The sequence below is a fragment of the Homo sapiens genome, chromosome 2, assembly GCF_000001405.40.
Source record: "Homo sapiens chromosome 2, GRCh38.p14 Primary Assembly".
Taxonomy (NCBI): Eukaryota; Metazoa; Chordata; class Mammalia; order Primates; family Hominidae; genus Homo; species Homo sapiens.
Window position 1 is genome coordinate 97,808,478 of NC_000002.12, and position 21,101 is coordinate 97,829,578.

General features: G+C 40.7%; 1 protein-coding gene and 1 pseudogene across 8 annotated transcripts in view, besides 1 other annotated feature; one reads left to right on the forward strand and one right to left on the reverse strand.

Moving 5' to 3' along the window:
- Positions 1 to 21,101, reverse strand: part of TMEM131 (transmembrane protein 131) — a 239,613-nt gene that overhangs the window by 52,142 nt on the left and 166,370 nt on the right. For all 8 annotated transcript variants that reach the window (XM_047443844.1, XM_047443843.1, NM_015348.2 and 5 more), the window contains 8 exons: positions 10,136 to 10,244; positions 6,722 to 6,830; positions 5,758 to 5,911; positions 5,494 to 5,664; positions 4,162 to 4,272; positions 3,944 to 4,078; positions 2,651 to 2,755; positions 1,211 to 1,297 (listed from right to left, as the gene is read on the reverse strand). In XM_047443844.1, coding sequence (XP_047299800.1) covers positions 1,211 to 1,297; positions 2,651 to 2,755; positions 3,944 to 4,078; positions 4,162 to 4,272; positions 5,494 to 5,664; positions 5,758 to 5,911; positions 6,722 to 6,830; positions 10,136 to 10,244 — 981 coding nt within the window. The remainder of the gene's footprint in view (positions 1 to 1,210; positions 1,298 to 2,650; positions 2,756 to 3,943; positions 4,079 to 4,161; positions 4,273 to 5,493; positions 5,665 to 5,757; positions 5,912 to 6,721; positions 6,831 to 10,135; positions 10,245 to 21,101) is intronic.
- Positions 11,195 to 11,728: an enhancer, noted in NCBI's record as "NANOG hESC enhancer chr2:98436135-98436668 (GRCh37/hg19 assembly coordinates)". NCBI's record gives its function as "activates a minimal SCP1, AML or CMV promoter by ChIP-STARR-seq in naive H9 embryonic stem cells {active_cell/tissue: H9 hESC(naive)}" and the evidence as "EXISTENCE:reporter gene assay evidence [ECO:0000049][PMID:30033119]".
- Positions 18,675 to 19,873, forward strand: HMGN1P36 (high mobility group nucleosome binding domain 1 pseudogene 36; annotated as a pseudogene).

Consider the following 21,101-nt stretch of genomic DNA (forward strand, 5'->3'; position numbering starts at 1 on the left):
CTCAAACTCTAAGCCATATTCCTGCCTCCTCTACCCACCCTCCTCCCCATACTTGTTTCAGTTTGTATGACCTCTTTAGGATATAAGCACAGTTCAAATGATTCACCTGCAATGTCTCTTGCCTATGTTCCCTCTCCATCATTTGTTCCTTCATCCATACATTATGTACTAAGTGCCTGCTATTGGGAAGAAACGATCTCTCATCCGTTTCCTAGAGGATCTCAGACTCTCACTGGGGAGGCCAACTTATAAGGAAATATTTATAGCACAATACGAGGCTTGCAGCAAGAGGGGTAATTTCAAAGTATTCTAGGATCACACATGAAACAACCAGTATTGTCTAGAGGAGTCAAGAAATCTTCAGAGAGGAGATGACAATGGAATTGAATCTTGAAAGACACGCAGGAGTTCTTTGAAGGAAGGACAGGAGGAAGGGCATTCGAGGCAAAGAAACAACAAAGGCTTGGAGGTATGAAGGGACTTTACTGCCTCAGCCACAGCCATGCGCTCAAACTCCCCTTGGCACTTTTCACATGGACTCTGGCCAGTCTGCGGGTTGGCCTCCAGGCACTCTATTGTTACTTTCATCTGTGTCCTCTATTTCTTTCTGCAGAGAGCCAGTCTTTAAAGCTCAGCTCTGATGATGTCAAGTCTTCACTCAAAAACTTCATATTCCCATGAACTTAAGTGCATTTAAGTTTTTTCCATGTTATCACCCCCACAGACCATTCCATTTTCTCTCTTAAAACTTTTCTCAATTCTTGCCAAACTGGACAACTCACTATTGCCTGAACCAACTTCAGACTTTACTGCCTCTGCATCCCTGTTGAGCTTGCGCCCTGGCCCTAGATTCACGTCTCTGCCACCCCTTCTCCATCTCTGTTGGAAGAAATTCTAAGCTGGCTCCCATAGCCCCTGCATCAGTGAGACGTGTATTTCCCTCACAGCACTTTATTTTCACTCCTCTTAGGGCAACTTCTACATTCCGCTTTATAGCTCTGAATTGTGGGTCCATTTCCCTTTCTAGATAGAAAACTTTTTGAGGAAAAGGACTGTATCTCTTTACATCTTCTAAAGAACCTGGTATAATGTCTTTAAAATAAATGACTAATAAAGAATAACTGACTTTACTCTAAGATTCTAGGAACACAGAGCTAAAGGCAAAGGCAAAAAACGAGCAATAGAAAAATGTGTGTATTAATGGTCTTACTGGAAAGGAAGGTGGAAGAACCACGTGCTTAGGGAAGCAGGTCAGTGAGCCTACTGCAATCACAGCCTTCACAGGGATTGTCAGGATCTGTGAAGTCAAGAAGATGATGATAGATAAGTAGTTAAGACTTAGCCTGATCTTGATAACTATTGCATTATATTTTGGGGTTAACCTAATTTTGGGACTAATATTGACAATAACCAGCTCCATACCAATATTAAAATCACCCATAGATACTGTTTAATCTGTCCAATGTACTCCATAAAATGTAATGAAATATAACACATTTCCACAGATTTCTCAGTGATTCATTGAAAACACGTAAAAAAGACTAAACAACGGGGAAGCAATGAAGACAGATTTTTTAAAAATACAAATATTTTTGTATTTCAAAATACAAATAATCTATAAAAATAGATTATTTTAAAAAAGAAAGTCAAACTGTACTCCTAAAACAATGTATGTAAAATCCAGCATATCTAGAGTTATATAGCTTTTTTTTTGATACAGAAATAGACATCAACCTAATTTTTAAAAATGCACTGAACATTCTAGAGTTAGAATCCCATCCCATACTGTTAGTAACTCTCAAAGCTACTTCTCTAGGGTATTTTTCTTAATTCTTATTTTCACCCATATTAACAAAAATTTATCTGAATTCTGAAATGTACTTATTTCTGTCATGAGTGATAACCATGAATTCCTCACCTGACATACTCTCAACAAATCATTTATTATTAAATGGCCAATTCTGTTTATTTTATAATTACATTTTTTTTCCACGTGGGAGTTGTGTCCACTGAAAACATCTATGAGGGCAAAGGTGGTAAGTTGTTGAATTTAACAGTGCTTGACTTTCCTAAGAGCTTTTAGATATACAATTAAAAACATTTAGGTCTGGCAGAAATACATCCATTCAAAATCTTACTGAATGCAAAATAAGCTCCACACAGAATATTTTAATTAAAAGCTTAGTAACCTTTAGTCCCTTGACTTTGAATGACTCATGAAAATATAAATGTGAGCACTCAGATTAGGACATGATCTCCTGATTTTATCTTCCTTTTCAGAAATGTTAGACCCTGACTGCTATTTATGATTGTAGGAACAATCAGAGGTATCTAACTCAGGACACTCAGCTGGGGTCTGTGCAATGATATAACCATCTGTTTAAGCAGGTTTCTAACAAAGCAATTCTAAACGTGCTAAAGGCATTCTTCTGAAGTTGCTTTTTAGGTTAGGAGGGTTGGGTTTTATCAAAAAACTATGAGCCTATGAACATCAATATTCTATAAACTATTCTCGAAAGCTCAGTTTTTAAGGTATGAAACTGGTAAACTGTAACTCTGAGTAAACTTAATTCTTTGGTTTCATAAAGACAAGAAAGGACTGACTTATTCAGAAAAACCCCACTGCCATGAATCCCCATAAAGTCCTTACCTCATAGTCTGTTGTGATCTGGATGGCTCCATCATGAATCCCCTCTAATTTTTTTGCAGTAAGTTTGACTCTGAAGACTGCAAAATAGCCTGAAGCTAATGTTACCTGTAGATAGTAGAAATGGTATCATTCATTAGCCTTGTTAGTTGAAGTTTCCTATTAAAATGGACATGAAGGGTGTAGCGATAAAATGACTAACAAATCCTAACATATACCAGTATGACACTGAATTACCATATCACTGTGTACAAATATCTCAAAATAGTGTCCATCCCTTGATATTTCTCTACTACACTTGTTCCATGGGCCACTGAAAAAGCTGGTTCCTGAAAGAGGGAGGGGTGTGGTCCTCTTGCTAATAAAGCTCCTCACTCTTTACCCATGGACCTGTATGGCCAAAGGGGCTGGAGCAGAGGGACACAGCCTTCCACCAACCTTTCAGGCACACTGGAGCCACAATTGTATACACAGCTGGCTCTGCTTCAAGCTGTGGATGTCACTCTGTAATGTTAATATTCATATCTTCAGGGCAGCTGAGGTCAGATATAACAAAACACCAGACCTATGGCATTCCACGGAAACGTGTTTGTCAACACTCTCTGTGTATAAGGACACTTGCTTTTCCTTTTGTAAAACTGCCCCAAGAAATTCTATTCTAACCTGCAGATGAGATTATCTGATGCTCCTTCTCACAGATTGTGATTCTAATTCTTTTCCCAGTAGGTATAAACTCCAAGTTCCCCTTTCAGTACTGGTGAGTGCTGAAACTAATAAATTTGTTTTCTCTTGTTTAGCGCTCTCTGACAACCAACTGTAACATGTTTATTAGACAGGTAAAAATATGTGGGCAGACTCACAGTGATCAAACAATGTTTGCCTCACTGATACTGAGGCAGTATCTGGACAGACGTATTATTGCATAATTGAAAATATTTTCTACCAATGTTCAGGGCCATCTCTTTTTCCCAGTAAACTCAATGAACACAAGGTTAGTTTAGTACCCATGGGAATCTCTCCTGTAATGACACTTGTGTTACAAAAAGATAATTAAAAATTTGTGTGTTATAGAACTTTTTATGACAAGGCAGAATTAAACCCCTTTGGGTTTCAGTGCCCTCATCATAAAAATAGGGGGTTGAATTACATTACCTATAAGGTCCTTTTAATAGCAAGTAACCAACACTATTATGAACTGCATAAAAATAATAGTGATACATGTAGCATAGCAATGATCTTCCACTTGCAGTTTAGACATCCATCTTACTTTAAGGAGACAATAGAAAGTTTACTTACCGATGATTGATCTGATAAAGAGGATTTTTCAAACTCTGGCAGGCTTGAAATTATTGTAGTTCTATTGCCTCTTTCCACAGCTACAAGTTCTATTGATAAACCGTCTCCTATGATATGCCAACTTTTTATAGCCAACTTTAAAAAAAGATATGAAAATGATTATCACAACACAAGCATAAAATCCTTAAATGTGATTTAGAATAAAAACAGGTTTTTACCTCAATTGGATTGCTGTTTATAATTGCAAATAAAATATTACTTGCTTCTGTAGCACTCAGTACTCCAAAATCTATGAAACGTTCCTCTATTTTGGGGGGCAATACAAAGTACTGGAAAGATATAAAAGAACCAGATTAAAAAAAAGTCACATTGATCTAACAATATTATGAAGAGAAAGTAACTATATTAAAGATGTATTAAAGTTCCCCCCAAAATTAGCTGGGCATGGTGGTGTGCACCTATAATCCCAGCTACTCGGAAGGCTGAGCTCAGGCAGGAGAATCGCTTGAACCCGCAAGCCAAGATTGCACCACTGCACTCCAGCTTGGGAAACACAGCGAGACTCCATCTAAAAAAAAAAAAAATTACAGTTCTATGCTTTCCTATGCTTTTGTATATATGCATAAAACCACACATTTATACGACATAGTTGAGGGCTTTGTATGACGAAAGTCTTTTGAGTAATCAGAAATGAAAACAGCCATGGCTTCTGCTGAGTTGCTATTCTTCCTCTGAGGGCACATGAAAGAGGCAGGAAGCTAAACTACTAAGAGAGGTTTAGTGGAACCCTAGGGGATCGGGCAAAAAGCATGTGGTCTCAGCAAGCATCACCAATGATCACTGAAACAAAATAACTGAAGCAGGAGCGAGACATTACTGAAGGTCCCTCCAGCTCTAAAATTCTAATCGATGCCAACTATTTAAAGGGCTACATTTCTAGATGTCCTAGCTTTCTTTTTATCTTTCCTAACAGTTTTCTCTCTTATCTAAGCTTCTTTCATTGATCACTCTCAAGATAGCTTTGTTTGGAATTTTTCCCCCTGCTTATTTTCTGTACCAGGAGTACCTTCATTGTTTCCTTCTGTGTCATATATAATCTTCCAACTTTGCGTCTTTACTACCTTATTTTCTTCTTTACTATCTGATTCTCTTCTTTGTCCCGATATTTCTTGGTTTTGATCATCTCTTCCCTACGTATATCCCTCTTCACCTTCCTTGTATTATTCTTTTTCTACCTATCATTTTTCTATTTAGTTCTTTTCTATATTCCCCATTATTACAATAGTTTAAAAGCATATCCAAGAGAAAGCAGAATGTGGAAAAGATCTAAGTAGAGACTGTAACTAGAGAAGTCAACTGTATCACAAGAGAGAGCTGCCAGAAAAGGTAAAAACTAGTTACCTGGAAAGGTAAAAACTGACTAGGAGAATTAGATCAATTTGCAGAGCACAAATAATGGCAAACCGTATGTAACACGACTGCCTAATAAGATCTGAAAACATTAAAGGTGGGCAGGGAGTTTAAATGTTAAAGATGGATAATATACTTACATCTAAAAAGCCTGTGTATACCCGCACGGGTAAATGAAATTTAGAAGCATTGGTAATAAGTAAAATGTTGTTATCAATGTGCATGGATGATGTGGAAGGCATAAAAAGCAGGGTAAAAATGTATCCTGATTCATTAGGAAGAATTAAGACTGGTTTGCTGAAGTTGTGAACCTGAGAAATGACAGAAGAGAAAAAAAACAAAGTGTCAGCATCACCTAGTTGGTAGACCAGGAAAATTAAAAGTATGAGGGCTCCTGGACATACTTTAAACATTGTTTTGGCTTCTTCTGGTAGCAACACATCGTGAATGAGGATCGCAAAACTGAAAGTGTTAGTAAGGTAAATTGGCCTTTCCACAGGATCAGCAGGGCTGTCTCGGATGTGAAATAATGTTGCAGCATGATCAAATCCCAAATAACTATTAAAAAAAACAACAAGAACAAAATAAATCATTTTTATTTCCATGTGTTAATTTAAAATCCAAGTTCTTCTGTTGTAAGTAATAATTTACATTTAGCATTAGGGATTGTATTAAAGATTTAGAACTATAATATTTTAGTGATTGACTATATGATTTAAAACAAAATTTAGCTTGCAAAATACTGAAATTAATACAAACAACCATTCTCTAATGAATTATATGAATCATACAATTAGAATCAAAGACATATCAACAAAAAAAGCTTTACTTTGAAAAAAATCATGCTTATCACTGAATTACAAGGAGCTTTGCTAAAATGAATCTTTGCCAAGTTGAGTATTAAACTACTATTGGTTAAAGTACAATAGAAAATGAACATGTCACTTCCCATTTATAAAAAGTTGTAATTCTAGAAGTGTTTATGAATTTATAAAGGAATATAAAGAATTCTGTTTCGAGTGTCAAAATACTTTAATAATAGGCCACAATCACTTACATATTACAAACAAATGTCAGAAAGGAAATGGTTCAAATGATTTAAATAATATTTAAAAAATCAGATTTTTGAATCATTAAGTCTTCATTTAAGCCCAAATCCTATCATCCCACTTACCCTTTTCTTCTAAAAAAGTAAAATATAAACAAAATATAGGAGGTTTTCTCTTTTATAGTTGGGGCTGTTCTTTCAAAAAATAATTCCATCAAGTTTATGTGAACGTGGCTAGTATTTCTGCAGGTCATTTAGCAGGAAAATATAATTTACTGATTAGTAAAAAGTAATAGAATTTATTTTAAAAAGAAACTCACCCATCTAAAACTTCTGCTTGATATGGTATTTCAAGTTTAGAATAACTCTTTTCCTTTGCTTTAACTGTTATTTTCCCAGAAAACTGAGATGGCTTTTTTGCCTTCGATGCTGAAAGGAAGCATAAAAAATAATCTCTGTTACCTTTTACTACCAAAGAGAATTAGTGAATTTATGTAAATTGACAAAATCTTAAAAAAAAAAAAAGTTGAGCTTCCAAATTGGCCAACAGAACACTTTTTATAACATTTTAAATGAAACATCACATTTTTCATACAAAAGGGGGAAAATGTTTTATATTTCCTGTAATAAGATAAGCAGATAAGGAATTAGCTGGTGAGCATGGTTCAGGAGGTAAAACACTGTACCTAAGCTGCTTTGCTGTAGCCACAGGCTTTGGCTTTACTTACAGCAGAATTTCTCATCCTTGGCACTGTTAACATTTTAGGCCAGATTAATTCTTCGTTGCGGAGGCTGTTGTGTGTACTGTAGGATGTTTAGCAGCATCCCGGACCTCTACTTGCTAGACGGCAGTAGCATCCCTGCAGCTGTGACTACCAAAATGCCTCTCTGCATTGCCAGATATCCCCTTGGAGGCAAAATTACCCCCCACTTAGCCCTGCTGATTTACACTTGAACTGAGAAAGAAATAACATTTCTTGTATGGCCAAAGTCTTGCTCTATCACCAATAAAGTAGCATGGTATAAGAAAAGTCAAGAATTCAGAGCTCTTCTCAAAAACCAGCCAACCCTAAAACTCATGGTATAAGAGGAGATAAATCCCCTCCTGTCATCATATTATATTGTCCTCATCTTAGATGAAGTAAAAACTTCAGATTTCATAGCAGTTTTGAATAATCCTGGCTGGGTGCAGTGCCTCACATCGGTAATCCCAGCACTTTGCCAGGCTGAGGCAGCCAGATCACCTGAGGTCAGGAGTTCGAGACAAACCTGGCCAACATGGTGAAACCCTGTCTCTACTAAAAACACAAAAACTAGCCAGGTGTGGTGGCACGTGCCTGTAATCTCAGCTAGTTGGCAGGCTGAGGCAGGAGAATCGCTTGAGCCTGGGAGGTGGAGGCTGCAGTGAGCCGAGATTGCGCCATTGCACTCCAGCCTGGGCAACAAAGCGAGACTCTGACCCAAAAAAACAAAAATTAAAAAATAAATAAATAAATAAGGAATTACAGAAATTGATTCAGTTGGGTCCAATCTAGGTACCCATTAGATGGTTCTTTTCAAAGCAAATAAAGAAGCTGTTTATGTTTATCCTCTTAGAGTACTTTAGGAACACTTCCATTTATGTGAAGAATTCATATGTGAGTTCCGCAAATGTGTGTCATCCAACCTCATGACAAAAAAGAACAAGGAAATGGTATGACATCTAGTGTTTGACTATGGCAGACACAGACTTTCCATTTTAAAAATTCCCATTCAGCCTCTTATTTCTCTGCTTGCTAGTTAGCCATCTCTGGATGCTTTCAATTTTTCACTATTTGTTCTGACGTAAGACTGATTACAAGGGCCACATTTAAGCATTTCATGACATTGTATCATACATAGCAAATAAAGTGGTCAAAAAGCTCAAGAAAATTCTGTTGAAAATCATGAAGAATAACTTTTGATGAGAAAGATGCTTGATAAATGAACACTGCAGAGTTAATACATATATAAGGTGCATTCTAACAATATTAAAAGTTAAATAACACACACTTCCTGACTGATTTTCACAGCAATCTCAGAGGTATTTTGTGTGGGGATCCAGCATGGCAGTGGGAGAGGTGAATGGTGGGGGGATTTTCACATGATATTAAAAACCTACTTTTAAGAAATGTAGCATTTGCTCTTAAAGATGCTTTCCCTTTGCTGTTGTTATTTAATTTTACATATTTCTTTAAGAAACAATTATCTTAGAGCCTACGATCTCAGAAGAACCAACACTAATGACATCGCATTTATCTCAAGAAGGGAAAGATTAAGTGGGTGGTCAATACAGGAGCTAGAGAAGAGTAGCTCTTCACCCTTGCAGAGCAGCTCTTCACCCTTGCAGACCATGTGGAGAATTTTCCGGCACATCTGTGAAGGGTGGGTCCTAAATGCTCTTATCCTGGCTGGGTGCAGTGCCTCACGTCGGTAATCCCAGCACTTTGCCAGGCTGAGGCAGCCAGATCACCTGAGGTCAGGAGTTTGAGACCAGCCTGGCCAACATGGTGAAACCCTGTCTCTACTAAAAATACAAAAATTAGCCGCCTCCTCCTCTGTAAGGGAAGACAATGTACCTCGTGATACTGACACTGGTAGGCATGAATGTGGTCTCTCAGCAGCATAGAGAACACTTTACCACAAATGTAGAAATTACTGTGGCATTAATGTCTTCTATAATACTATTTCTTGACAACTGTATCATGAAGTATGCTGCCTATGTGATTTTTATTCCTTGAGAGTCCTCACTGAGCTCACAGGATGAACCCTGAGGCCAGCCCCACCTCCGTAGCTGCTCCAGACCCTCCCTAGAACTCTCCACAGTGAGCAGCAGGCATAGATACTCTCATAAACACTGTGTGAAGTGTGCCAGTGTCCTCCTACATTCATTGATCAAATATTCTCATCCGATGAGGAGCTGAGCTTTACTATGTGGACTCTGAGCACAGATGGCTTTATCATAAAGCCAAAGTTTAAGCTTAATAGCAGCTACTCAGTTGCATGGGTGCCTATGAAAAAAGCCCTGTTCAGAGGTTCAATTCTCATTTAATTATCTGTATGGTTAAGCAGCCATTAAGTCATTATTTTAAAAATGTTGTGACAGCAAATTCAATGAATGTTCCAATTAAAGTAGGCAAAACTAAATAAAAACATGCTATAAAAATGGTATAGTCTGGCTTAACACCTCAAGTATCAAAATGTATACTATACACATTAGAAATAATAGCTAACTGGACAATTCTGTCATAAAGTCTATTATTTTAGCTTAAGTAGGGGATCTGCTTTGCCTATAAAAGCCAATATATGAAAATGTTACAAAGAATACTTTTTATTTTTGCTCTCAAATTCAAACATGTTTCAGAACTTCAAATATATTGTAACTTCATAATTAAGATGAATTATAATACATAATATGTGTAAAAAGGCTAGCCCAGATTATGGAAATGATTCCAATCCTAATGTATTTGCTAGTGCTTTTCTATTGCTAATACTGATTTAGCTTTATAAAGTTGTGGTATTTTCTCTCATGAATCAATCAAGTAAGAGTTCATGATGGTTTACAGCGGGGGGGGGCGGGGGGGGATCAACCTAAGCAGTAATATAAATTCTGATGGTAAAACAGTTTGGATTTTTATATTAAGACGTTAATACAGATGCTTTCTAGTTTATCAAAATAACATCACTCTATCAGAGAGAAAATGGTGAATACTTGCCATCAAAACTAATGCTTGCAACCTTGGTGTATTTACTTTCTGATGCTTTTAATGTAATTGGTTTAAAGTGTACCGTTATAGCATCATTTTGTGGTGTAGGTCGAACACTCTGCAAAGAGAACAAAAATACATACATGGCATTATTTCAGACTAATGGTTCAGTTGCCTTATACTTATACTGGAAAGTATACTGGAAAAGTAAAGTGGACTCTAAATTTGAAAAGTTTAACTTATGTTGTCCCTTTAAATGGAGTAGGCCACACTGGAAAACTTCAAATTAATTTCATCAGAATATCTTTATAAAAGAAAATGACCAGAGAATAAGCATGACAGATTTGTAAGTGTAAGAATCTATTACATTTGGTGTGAGTACATAAAGCATTTAAAAAAGGTACTTATTTTCCAAATGAATGCCTAATTCACACACCAGTGGAGGCGACATGAAAAAGACTTATGGATCCCTCTTAAAGAAATTCACAATACTGAGGAAATATCTGAACCATATGACGGTGAAGAATAAACATGAACTTGGAAGCTGGTGTGTCAGTGCCAAGGTAGTTCTGCACACTTCATTTCTAATGGCATTTTCTCTTTCTCTCTAGACATGGCTCTGCGAGTGAGGCATGCTGCTATCCAGAGAGAGGGCTATACTGCTGGCTATGGGATTGAGCACTGAGGCAGCCCACAGGGATGTTCAGCTTGAAGCCAGAATGCTTAAATAACAACAAACAGGAAAACCTTGTACTTGGAGAGCATGCTTTTTAAAAATACATTTTAAGGTACAGTTATTTTTTATTTCCTCACTGACACAAAGCCCTTTCAATTGGAAGGGACGTAAAAGATTCCAACCTCCTTCTCTGTTTTACTAATGAAATTTCCAATATTGATGTTTTAATAGCTAGGCATCAACAGGTAGGAATGAAACAAGAATCCCTGGGTTGGTGCAGGGCCTTCATCTGACATCCTGTTGCACAAACATGTATCACAAAATCGTGGTACTGTATACAACTCTTGATTAAAAAATAATCTTCCTTTATGATTACTTTGAATCTGAACCTTGGTCTGAACCCTCGTGGGTTGTATTTGTTGAATTATGAAGGGCTTTAAAAACTTGTCAAAGCCTGCTATTTCCCGGAGAAAAGAACATTGTCCTTTTCTGTGAGACTTATCAGGCAAGCCCCTTAACAGGAGCACAGTCAGATCCAGCAAGTCACTATGTTCTTCCCCCTGGATCCCTGCCTGCTCTTTTCCGCCCGTTTATAAAGGTGAAATCTGCCTCAACAGAACATCAAAGGGCAGTCTCTTGAAGGTGCGATAAGCACCTGAGAAGAGCATGGAGAGAGAGAATGATCCTCGTGCCTTGTGTGTGGGATCACAGGGTACGGATCTGATTATATGATAATGATCAAAGACACTGCTAGAGCAGCTCCCTTTCCATTGGTGGGTTAGTCCTGGGCTGTCAGCAAGTGTTCGTTCACAGGGTCTGAAATGAAGGCCCTAAGGATGGTTCTGTGGACCTCAGGCTCTCTTGGCATTTTAACTCTTTTTAACTTCCTCCGTTTTTCTTCTTCAAGAACTCCTTCTCAATTGCTTTTGGATCTCTAGCTGGGGCTGGGAATGATTTGTTCATGTAATATTTTTACTTATCAATAAGTTTGCTGTTATTAGCGACATTTAAAATACAAATTTCTTCATTCACTGAAAGGTGAGTGTGTGTATTTTTAATAATAAAACAAAGTAGAGTTTGAACTGTAAGACAAACTGGGAAAAGTTCCATTTGGTTATACTATACTATATTACCATGCTAATACTTTTTCCAAAGAGAGGAAATCAGTACAGAAGTATATGTGACAATCCAGTGGCATCACTTTATGCAATAAAAGGATGTTTAACTAGAGATGTGAGCTTGAGTCAGCTGCCCATCTACTCTGGGGCTCATTTTTCCCACCTGTAAAAAAAATCCTGGCTGGGCATGGTGACTCATGCCTGTAGTCCTAGCACGTTGGGAGGCCAAGGCACGTGGATCATGAGGTCAGGAGTTCAAGACCAGCCTGGACAAGATGGTGAAAGCTCGTCTCTACTAAAAATACAAAAATTAGCCAGGCGTGGTGGTGGGTGTCTATAATCCCAGCTACTCGGGAAGCTGAGGCAGATAACTACTTGAATCCGGGAGGCGGAGGTTGTAGTGAGCCAAGATTGGGACACTGCACTCCAGCCTGGGCAACAGAGTGAGACTCCTTCTAAAAAAAAAAAAAAGCAGCCCAGCCAGGGGAATGGGTTGTTTTCTGAGATCCCATCATCTACAACATTTTGTGAGTCAGTTAATTTTGCTTTTTTTCCCCCCACAAATGAGCCACTTTATCTTGAGGCCAAGCTTTGTTACAGGTGATCACATGAAGCTCTGTAGTTTGCAGAGGACTTCCACAGATATGGCTCCTGAAGTTCCTCATTTGCTCTACTGAATATGATCCAGCAACAATTCAGAGGTGAAGTCAGCTGGACTTCCTGGGTTGAGTGGGGACTTGGAGAACTTTTTTGTCTAGCTAGAGGATTGTAAACACACCAATCAGTGCTCTGTGTCTAGCTAAAGGATTGTAAATGCACCAATCAGCACTCTGTCTCTAAAGGACTGTAAATGCACCAATCAGCACTCTGTAAAAACGCACCAATCAGTGCTCTGTGTCTAGCTAAAGGACTGTAAATGCATCAATCGGCATTCTGTAAAAACGCACCAATCAACACTGTAAAATGGACCAATCAGCAGGACGCGGGCAGGGCCAAATAAGGGAATAAAAGCTGGCCACCCGAGCCAGTAGAGGCAACCCGTTTGGGTCCCTTTCTAGGCTGTGGAAGCTTTGTTCTTTCACTCTTCACAATAAATCTTGCTGCTGCTCACTTTTTGGGTCTGCACTACCTTTATGAGCTGTAACACTCACCACGAAGGTCTGCGGCTTCACTCCTGAAGTCAGCAAGACCACGAACTCACTGGAAGGAAGAAATTCCGGACACATTTTGGCGACCCACATGGGATACATTTTGGTGACCAGGAAGGGACTATCGCCAAGCAGTGAGCACCACTGGACCCCTTTCACTTGCTATTCTGTCCTATTTTTCCTTAGAATTCGGGGGCTAAATACCGGACACCTGTCAGCCAGTTAAAAGCGACTGGCACAGCCACCGGACTAAAGACACAGGTGTCAGGCTTTCTGGGAAAGGGCTAACAACCCCCAACTCTTCAGAGTTGGGAGCATTGGTTTGCCTGGAACCATCTTCCACTTTTCCTGTACTTCTGGGCTGAGCTGAGGGTCAACAGAGAGGAAAGCCATTCAGCTCCGGGATCCCGACAAAAAGTTGGTTGACTGTGGCCATGAGCGGAATTCTCAAAGTTATGTTGCCCAAGCGAGACTTGCCTATCTATCCTATCTATCCTGACCCTTGCCCCCTGGGTCCTAATGCCTGTCAGACAAACTTCCTCTTGCCTCTCTTCTCCAAGGATAGTTCCGCTTCTAAAAACCACTCTCTGTCTCTGATGCCTTTCTAGTTTCTCCTATAAGAATGATTTCCAGTATAAACTCCAGGACTCTATTCCCTCCTTTAGGCACCTGGACTCACCAATCAAAGACATAATTTTTGCCCAAAGCCCCTTCGAGGGCAGGGGGACTACCTGGAATTTTAGGATCCCTCCTCAGACTAGCAGGCCTAACAAAAGCTATTCCTGAAGCTAGGATACGGGGAGCCTCAGAAACGATATCCTTCCTTTTCACATGATGAGAAGTGAGGATAAAAGGCGTCACTCTTCCAACCCTGGAGATCCCTTCCCTTGCTCAGGGTACGGCCCTCCACTTCATTTTTGGGGCATAACATCTTTATAGGATGGGGTAAAGTCCCAACACTAACAGGAGAATGCTTAGAACTCTAACAGGTTTTCGAGAATGCGTCGGTAAGGGCCACTAAATCTGATTTTTCTTGGTCCTCTTTGTGGTATAGGAGGACAGGCAAGGGTGCAGGTTTTCGAGAATGTGTTGGTAAGGGCCACTAAATCCAACCTTCCTTGGTCCTCCTTGTGGTCTAGGAGGAAAACTAGTGTTTCTGCTGCTGCGTTGGTGAGTGCAACTATTCCGATCAGCAGGGTCCAGGGACTGTTGTGGGTGCCTGGGCTGGGGGGAAACAAACAAACCAAAACCACAGGCAGTTTTGTCTTTCAGATGGGAAACACTCAGGCATCAACAGGCTCACCCTTGAAATGCATCCTAAGCCATTGGGACCAATTTGACCCATAAACCCTGAAAAAGATGTGGCTCATTTTTTTCTGCACTACGGCCTGGTCCCAATATTCTCTCTCTGATGGGGAAAATGGCCACCTGAGGGAAGTATAAATTATAATACTATCCTGCAGCTTGACCTTTTCTGTAAGAGGGAAGGCAAGTAGAGTGAAATACCTTATCTCTAAGCTTTCTTTTCATTGACGGAGAATCCACAACTATGCAAAGCTTGCAATTTACATCCCACAGGAGGACCTCTCAGCTTACCCCCATATCCTAGCCTCCCTATAGTTCACCTTCCTATTAATGATAAGCCTCCTCTAATTTCCCCCACCCAGAAGGAAACAAGCAAAGAAATCTCCAAGGTACCACAAAACTCCCCGGGCTATCGGTTATGTCCCCTTCAAGCTGTAGGGGGAGAGGAATTTGGCCCAACCTGGGTACCTGTCCCCTTCTCCCTCTCTGATTTAAAGCAGATCAAGGCAGACCTGGGGAAGCTTTCAAATGATCCTGATAGGTATACAGATGTCCTACATGGTCTAGGGCAAACCTTTGATCTCACTTGGAGAGATGTCATGCTATTGTTAGATCAAACCCTGGCCTTTAATGAAAAAAATGCGGCTTTAGCTGCAGCCCAAGAATTTGGAGATACCTGGTGTCTTAGCCAAGTAAATGATAGAATGACAGCTGAAGAAAGGGACAAATTCCCTACCGGTCAGCAAGCCATCCCCAGTATGGATGCCCACTGGGATCTAGACTCAAGATCATGGGGACTGGAGTTGTAAACATCTGCTGACCTGTGTTCTGGAAGGACTAAGAAGAATTAGGAAAAAGCCCATGAGTTATTCAATGATGTCCACCATAACTCAGGGAAAGGAAGAAAATCCTTCTGCCTTCCTCGAGCAGCTACGGGAGGTCTTAAGGAAATATACTCTCCTGTCACCCAACTCCCTTGGGGGTCAACTGATCCTAAAAGATGAGTTTATTACCCAATCAGCCACAGATAACAGGAGGAAGGTCCAAAAGCAAGCCCTGGGCCCTGAACAAAATCTGGAGGCATTATTAATCCTGGCAACCTCGGTGTTCTATAATAGGGACCAAGAGGAACAGGCCCAAAAGGAAAAGCGAGATCAGAGAAAGGCCACAGCCTTAGTCAAGGCCCTCAAACAAACCTTGGTGGTTCAGAGAGGAAAGAAAATTGAGCAGGCCAATCACCTGGTAGGGCTTGTTATCAGTGTGGTTTACAAGGACACTTTAAAAAAGATTGTCCAATGAAAAATAAGCCACCCCCTCACCCATGTCCACTATGCTGAGGCAATCACTGGAAGGCACACTGCCCCAGAGGGCAAAGGTTCTCTAGGCCAGAAGCCCCCAACCAGATAATCCAACAGCAGGACTGAGGGTGCCCGGGGCAAGTGCCAGCTCATGTCATCACCCTCACTGAGCTCTGGGTACGTTTAACCATTGAAGGCCAGGAAATTGACTTCCACCTGGACACTGGTGCAGCCTTCTCAGTGTTAATCTCCTGTCCTGGACGACGGTCCTCAAGGTCCATTACCATCCGAGGAATCCTGGGACAGCCTGTAACCAGGTATTTCTCCCACCTCCTGAGTTGTAATTGGGAGACTTTGCTCTTTTCACATGCCTTTCTCGTTATGCCTGAAAGTCCCACACCCTTATTAGGGAGAGATATATTAGCCAAAGCTGGAGCTATTACCTACATGAATATGGGGAACAAGTTACCCATTTGTTGTCCCCTACTTGAGGAGGGAATCAACCCTGAAGTCTCTGCATTGGAAGGACAATTTGGAAGGGCAAAAAATGCCCACCCAGTTCAAATCAGGCTAAAAGACTCCACTACTTTTCCTTATCAAAGGCAATATCCCTTAAGGCCTGAAGCTCATAAAGGATTACAGGATATTGTTAAACATTTAAAAGCTCAAAGCTTAGTAAGGAAATGCAGCAGTCCCTGCAACACCCCAATTCTAGGAGTACAAAAACCGAATGGTCAGTGGAGATCTTAGACTAGTGCAAGATCTTAGACTCATCAGTGAGGCAGTAATTCCTCTATATCCAGTTGTACCCAACCCCTATACCCTGCTCTCTCAAATACCAGAGAAAGCAGAATGGTTCACTGTTCTGGACCTCAAGAATGTCTTCTTCTGTATTCCCCTGCACTCTGACTCCCAGTTTCTCTTTGTCTTTGAGGATCCCACAGACCACATGTCCCAACTTATGTGGACGGTCTTATGCCAAGGGTTTAGGGATAGCCCTCATCTGTTTGGTCAGGCACTGGCCCATGATCTAGGCCACTTCTCAAGTCCAGGCACTCTGGTCCTTCAGTATGTGGATGACTTACTTTTGGCTATCAGTTCGGAAGCCTCATGCCAGCAGGCTACTCTAGATCTCTTGAACTTTCTAGCTAATCAAGGGTACAAGGCATCTAGGTCGAAGGCCCAGCTTTGCCTACAGCAGGTCAAATATCTAGGCCTAATCTTAGCTAGAGGGACCAGTGCCCTCAGCAAGGAATGAATACAGCCTATACTGGCTTATCCTCACCCTAAGACAAAACAGTTACGGGGGTTCCTTGGCATCACCAGCTTTTGTTGACTATGGATCCCCGGATACAGCAAGATGGCCAGACCACTCTATGCTCTAATCAAGGAGACCCAGAGGGCAGATACTCATCTAGTAGAATAGGAACCAGAGGCAGAAACAGCCTTCAAAACCTTAAAGCAGGCCCTACTACAAGCTCCAGCTTTAAGCCTTCTCACAGGACAACACTTCTCTTTATACGTCAGAGAGAGAGCAGGGATAGCTCTTGGAGTCCTTACTCAGACTCGTGGGACAACCCCACAACCAGCGGCATACCTAAGTAAGAAAACTGATGTAGTAGCAAAAGGCTGGCCTCACTGTTTATGAGTGGTTGTGGCAGTGGCCATCTTAGTGTCAGAGGCTATCAAAATAATACAAGGAAAGGATCTCACTGTCTGGACTACTCATGATGTAAATGGCATAGTAGGTGCCAAAGGAAGTTTATAGCTATCAGACAACCGCCTACTTAGATAGCAGATGCTACTCCTTGAGCAACCGGTGCTTCAAATATGTACATGTGTGGCCCTCAGCCCTGCCATTTTTCTCCCAGAGGATGGGGAACCAATCGAGCATGACTGCTGACAAATTATAGTCCAGATTTATGCCACCTGAGATGATCTCTTAGAAGTCCCCTTAGCTAATCCTGAACTTAACCTATATACTGATGAAAGTTCATTTGTGGAAAATGGGATATGAAGGGCAGGTTATGCCATAGTTAATGATGCAACCGTACTTGAAAGTAAGCCTCTTCTCCTAGGGAGCAGCACCCAGTTAGCAGAACTAGTGGCACTTACCTGAGCCTTAAAACTGAGAAAGGGAAAAAGAATAAATGTGTGTATACAGATAGCAAGTATGCTTATCTATTCCTACATGCCCATGCTGCAATATGGAAAGAAAGGGAGTTCCTAACCTCTAGGGGAACCCCCATTAAATACCACAAGGAAATTATGGAGTTATTGCACGCAGTACAAAAATCCAAAGAGGTGGCAGTCTCACACCGCCGAAGCCATCAAAAGGGGAAGGAGAAGGGAGAACAGCAGCATAAGCAGCTGGCAGAGGCAGGGAAAGACCAGCAGAAAGGAAAGAGAGAAAGAGACAGAAAGTCAGAGAGAGAGAGGAAGAGACAGAGACAAAGAGGAAGTCAGAGAGAAAGAGAAACAGTGAGAGAGGGGAAGAGACAAAGAGGAAGTCAGAAAGAGAAAAAAAGAGAGACAAAAAAGAAGTCAAAGAGAAAGAAAAAGAAATGGAAGTAGTAAAGAAAAAAGTGTACCCTAGTCCTTTAAAAGCCAGGGTAAATTTAAAACCTATAATTGATAATTGAAGGTCTTCTCTGTAACCCTATAACACTCCAATACCACCTTGCTGTCAGAGTAAACAAGGACATAGCCTGAAAGCACTGAGGTCACTGACAACCAGTAGCCTTCCTATCAAAAATCCTTAACCCAGCAGGTTTCCTAACAGGGGATCTAAATCTTAACTAATTACTATACAAAGGTCCGACCAGACCTAGGAGGAACTCCCTTCAGGACAGGACGATAGATGGTTCCTCCCAAGCAATTAAGGGAAAAAGACACAATGGGTATTCAGTAAGTGATAAGCAAAAAAAAAAAAAAAAAAAAAAATTTTAAAATCCCAAACTTACAAGGTTTTCAACAAAAGTTTGCTAAAAGTTAACAGTGTTGGGGAGGAGTGGCAGCGGCAAGGCAGCCCAGTTTCGTGAAGGCTCTTGGCGCGCCGCGGCCCGCAGGCACCTGGCACGCGCCTTCCCCGCCGCCAGGATGCCCAAGAGGAAGGTCAGCTCCGCTGAAGCCGCTGCCAAGGAAGAGCCCAAGAGGAGATCGGCGCGGTTGTCAGCTAAACCTCCTGCAAAAGTGGAAGCAAAGCCGAAAAAGGCAGCAGCGAAGGATAAATCTTCAGACAAAAACGTGCAAACAAAAGGGAAAAGGGGAGCAAAGGGAAAACAGGCCGAAGTGGCTAACCAAGAAACTAAAGAAGATTTACCTGCAGAAAATGGGGAAACGAAAACTGAGGAGAGTCCAGCCTCTGATGAAGCAGGAGAGAAAGAAGCCAAGTCTGATTAATAACCATATACCATGTCTTATCAGTGGTCCCTGTCTCCCTTCTTGTACAATCCAGAGGAATATTTTTATCAACTATTTTGTAAATGCAAGTTTTTTAGTAGCTCTAGAAACATTTTTAAGAAGGAGGGAATCCCACCTCATCCCATTTTTTAAGTGTAAATGCTTTTTTTTAAGAGGTGAAATCATTTGCTGGTTGTTTATTTTTTGGTACAACCAGAAAATAGTGTGGGATATTGAATTATGGGAGGCTCTGATTGTCTCGGGTGTCAGCTTAACATTCCATAGATGGGGGGTTAGTTTTTATATCCTATAATACAAAGCATATTAAATGGCAATATGGAGTCAGTCCTGCATTTAATGTCTTGAACATTTTAAATTACTTCTATTACCATGTTGTTTTTTAGTAGAATTGTTTCCTAAAGAAAACCACTCTTTGATCATGGCTCTCTCTGCCAGAATTGTGTGCACTCTGTAACATCTTTGGTTGTGGTAGTCCTGTTTTCCTAATAACTTTGTTACTGTGCTGTGAAAGATTACAAATTTGAATATGTAGTGTACGTGCTATTGAGTTGTGAACTGGTGGGCTGTATGTAACAGCTGACCAACATGTGAAGATACTGGTACTTGATAGCCTCTTAAGGAAAATTTGCTTCCAAATTTTAAGCTGGAAAGTCACTGGAATAACTTTAAAAAATAATTACAATACATGGCTTTTTAGAATTTCGTTATGTATGTTAAGATTTGTGTACAAATTGAAATGTCTGTACGATCCTCAACCAATGAAATCTCAATTATGAAAAAAAAAAAGTGTAACATATATTATCCTAACTTCTAATCTTATGGAAATCAGACATAGGGTCTGTGCCCCTCAAAGCTCAAGTGTCTCAGCACAGGGCCATACAACTAACACCCCTACTTATAGGGTTAGAGATGGCCACTGCTACAGGAACCAGAATAGCAGGTTTATCTACATCATTATCCTACTACCACAAACTCTCAAAGGATTTCTCAGACAGTTTGCAAGAAATAATGAAATCTATCCTTACTCTACAATCCCAAATAGACTCTTTGGCAGCAGTGACTCTCCAAAACTGCTGAGGCCTAGACCTCCTCACTGCTGAGAAAGGAGGACTTTGCACCTTCTTAGGAGAAGAGTGTTTTTTTACACTAACCAGTCAGGGATACTACAGCGTTTACAGGAAAAGGCTTCTGAAATCAGACAACGCCTTTCAAACTCTTTCAATGCCTTTCCAACTCTTATACCAACCTCTGGAGTTGGGGAACATGGCATCTTCCCTTTCTAGGTCCTGTGACAGCCATCTTGCTATTACTCGCCTTTGGGCCCTGTATTTTTAATCTCCTTGTCAAATTTGTTTCCTCTACGATCGAGGCCATCAAGCTACAGATGGTCTTACAAATGGAACCCCAAATAAGCTCAACTAACAACTTCTACCAAGGACCCCTGGATCGACCCACTGGCCCTTTGACTGGCCTAGACAGTTCCCCTCTGGAGGACACTACCACTGCAGGGTCCCTTCTTTGCCCTTATCCAGTAGGAAGTAGCTAGAATGATCATTGCCCAATTCCCAACAGCAGTTGGGGTGTCCTATTTAGAGGGGGGATTGAGAGGGGAAGCCAGCTGGATTTCCTGGGTTGAGTGGAGACTTGGAGAACTTTTCTGTCTAGCTAGAGGACTGTAAACACACCAATCAGTGCTCTGTGCCTAGCTAAAGGATTGTAAATGCAACAATCAGCACTCTGTAAAAATGCACCCATCAGCGCTCTGTATCTAGCTAAAGGATTGTAAATGCACCAATCAGCACTCGGTAAAAACGCACCAATCAGCGCTCTGTGTCTAGCTAAAGGATTGTAAATGCACTAATCAGCACTCTGTAAAAATGCACCAGTCAGCACTGTGTCTAGCTAAAGGATTGTAAATGCAACAATCAGCACTCTGTAAAATGGACCAATCAGCGCTCTGTAAAATGGACGAATCAGCAGAACATGGCGGGGAGCCAAATAACGGAA